The sequence below is a fragment of the Homo sapiens genome, chromosome 12, assembly GCF_000001405.40.
Source record: "Homo sapiens chromosome 12, GRCh38.p14 Primary Assembly".
Classification (NCBI taxonomy): Eukaryota; Metazoa; Chordata; class Mammalia; order Primates; family Hominidae; genus Homo; species Homo sapiens.
This window is the reverse complement of record NC_000012.12, coordinates 28878333-28881721: the sequence shown is the minus strand read 5'-3', so window position 1 is coordinate 28881721 and position 3389 is coordinate 28878333. Positions and strand designations below refer to the sequence as shown.

The 3389-nt window shown below is 40.7% G+C and overlaps 1 annotated feature.

Moving 5' to 3' along the window:
• Positions 2075-2134: a silencer, noted in NCBI's record as "silent region_4318". NCBI's record gives its function as "represses an Ori minimal core promoter by ATAC-STARR-seq in GM12878 lymphoblastoid cells {active_cell/tissue: GM12878}" and the evidence as "EXISTENCE:reporter gene assay evidence [ECO:0000049][PMID:35858748]".

Sequence of the window (3389 nt, the reverse complement as noted above, 5' to 3'; positions counted from 1 at the left end):
TCTTAATAACCACGATTGTTGATTCTTTCGTGGAAATAACTTTAATAAAGTATGTCATCTTCACAATCGTCAAAGATCAGATTTTTGATGATGAGGTTGTTGTTCGTGTTTGTTTGTTTTATTGTGTTTTGTTTTTGAGGTTTGTGACACTGAAGAGGATTGGACAGAAAGGCCTGGGCTGGACTCTGGAGGGGACTATGGACAGCCACAAGGCAGATAGCCCTGGCTATAGGAATCAAGAAGGCAGCCGGGGTCGGGGGAGGAATACAGAAAGCAGAGGGTTGGTTGCGGGGGGCAGCGCAGGGGCCGGGGGATTCAGAAGGATGGTCCTGGAAAAGATACTCTGGTGTGCTGAATGTCCCTGAAAATCTCCTTCTAGATCAGGAGCACCTTCCACACATCTACACTAAGGAGTCCGATCATCACTTCCACTCAATTCTCCAGCATAAGTAAGCTCTATCTTCATGATGACTGAGTGACCACCCCTTCCAATTTCATAAGGGCAAGATACATGTGAATCACCCTAGGATAAAATCAGCCTCATGGAAAGGTACCCAGCAGCCCTCCTGCAGGCAAGGATCTCCAGAACTTAAGAAGAGGGCAGGAAAAGCTTTAGGTTCCAGTCCAAATGCTCAGGATTTGGGGGTGAAACCAGCTCAGGTCATGCCCTCTAATGTGCAGGCTTCCACTTTCCTGACCAATAAGATTCAGTAACCCTCTTCTTGCCTTGGCTCTGTTGGGTGCTTGAGAAGCAAAGTAAACATTGTTGACATGACTGTAAGGAATACAATTTTATTTTTGACAGTGTTCTAACAGGAAAATGGACTGTTGTCAACACATGGTTTTCTTTTGTATTGGTCATTTTCTGTGGATTTCTCTCTGCATCCTTTTTCATATTGCCTTTTTGCTGTCTGTAAGATTCGATGTTCTATTGGCAAAGATAATAACAGAGATAAGAATGTTTTTATTTCTGCAGGAACAAAAGAACTTAAGTGAACCTGTTTTGAGGTAGTGCTTAAGGTGGAGAAAATTCTCTAGATTAAAAAGCTGGAGAGTGAGGAAAGGAAAACAAAATAGGGGCTCAGAATTGGATAAATGAGCAGAGGGGTTTGACTCACGCTCTGAAGGAGGAGAGAATTATAGACTGACCTGTGTGTGTCCCCTTCTCTCAGTGAGGGCAGCTGGTAAAGACTGCAGCCCAGAACATTCTTTTATTGAATTCTGTTGTTTTTCTGGGTTGGCACAGAAAAATATGTCTCCTGGTTACCATGATTTTGTTCTTTTGCCTAGGACATCCAGATACTTCTTTTAGAGATGCCACGGGTTACATTCCCTGGCAGGATATTAGTTCCTGTTAAGAAACAAAAATATGCCCCAATTCTTGATTAAAAGCATGAATTATTTTTTGATAATATATTTTAATGTGACCTCTCATTTTTTCTGGCTCATTCTCTAAATTTACACATCGGTCTCTGGAGGTTTCCTTGCCATAACTCTCACCTTACTGTTTTATTAGTGTTGTTAGGTGTTTTGCTTTTTTTTTTTTTTCATTTGTCAAGACCATTTAAAGATGGTAATAAGTGCTGGTCAATAATTCAGCTCTGGGTCTTTTCAGTTGCTTTCTCAGCTCTGCAATTTAGAACCAAATGGAATTAGAATCCATAAGCTGTGTGGCTGCTTTATCAATGGCACAGGATTTAGCTCATAAGATTAGGGGGAAAAGAAAAACCTAACAAAATAAAGGAAATTTTTTTCCTAACTTATTTTACATATTGAATGGTAACCCCATGCTACCCATTAGGTGAAAAAACACATTGTATGTAAAAATGGACTTTGAAAATATCAATAAAATGATTGATTAATAAGTGACCTCATGAATCAAGCAAATAAACATGGGAATGAATTCAAGTAGGTGAGAAAAAGAAATGTGATATAAAGAAAGTGGGCTTATGAAAAGGATGGAAGATGATAGTGTGGAGAAAGGCAGTGCATCCACACAGTCTTCTGATTCCTTCTCATGACTTCTGAATAGGCCTTGGGTCTGAAACACTTCTTTACCAAGAGATAGAGTCCTCACTGCCTGTGCAAGATTCATCACCTTGAGTGGAAGTATCATTTCCTGTTTCAGACTCAATGCATACTCCTTCTTTCTGAACAAGTGTGTGTCCTATGTCACCTGACCAACCTTACTAGCATATCTGCCTCTGGCAGGAAGGGGATCGAGTCCTTCTGACACAGCACAAGAGGGTATGTGCAGGCCAGTTGCCTCATGTTGGCTACTGGGAGGGGGCCCGCTGGCCATGGAAGACTCACCACTGATTCTGTTTTTCTTTTCTTTTTTTTCTTTTCTTTTCTTTTCTTTTCTTTTCTTTTCCTTTCCTTTCCTTTTCTTTCTCTTTCTTTCTTTCTTTCTTTCTCTTTCTCTTTCTCTCTCTCTCTTTCTTTTTTTTTCTTTCTTTCTTTTTTTCTTTTTTTGGAGACAGAGTCTCACTCTGTCACTCAGGCTGGAGTGCAGTGGCACAATCTCGGCTCACTGTACCCTCCGCCTCCCAGGTTCAAAGTGATTCTCCTGCCTCAGCCTCCTGAATAGGTGGGACTACAGGCACATGCCACCACACCTTGCTAATTGTTGTATTTTTTAGTAGAGATGGGATTTTACCATGTTGGTCAGGCTGGTCTCGAACTCCTGACCTCAAGTGATCCACCTGCCTTGGCCTCCCAGAGTGCTGGGATTACAGGCGTGAGCCACCAAGCCTGGTTGCTCTGTCTCTTTTCTAGGTGAGTAAAGTGTTCTTCCATCCAGTGCTTGACTGCATTGTGTTTTCCTTGGTGACTCCAAAACCAATATGCAGTGAGTGGAAGTACTCAGACTTCTACCCCTGATAATAGGTGACAGATGGTACTTGCTCGACTGATAGAAAAGGTTTGAGCTGGCAGAGCAGCCATGGTGGGAAATGTATCTCAAACAAAGGGCTGAGGGAGCTTAATTCCATCTTCTCTTGGAACATTCCCAAGTAATTGTCTCTTTTCATCTATGTAATATTATTTCCCATTATACTCTCCTGGAATTGTAGAACACAGAAATCTGGTCCACTATCTATATAAAGATAAATAAATAGATTAAATAAGATGCTACAAAGTTGTCATTTGCATGATTAGAGAAAGAAAAAGTCACTGGAGAAGTCCATTCCAAAAGAGACAGAATGAAGACTTAGGAATTGGAATGCTAGAAAAGTCTTGGTTTTTATTTTATTTTTTTAGATAAGCCTAACTATTGTAAGTGTTGCAATTTTATAGAATACATTCATTCATCCCACAGGCTCACCAACTCCCAGATGACAGGCATATGTTAAGTGCTAAAGGTATTTCATTTCAAGGATTTAATGGTT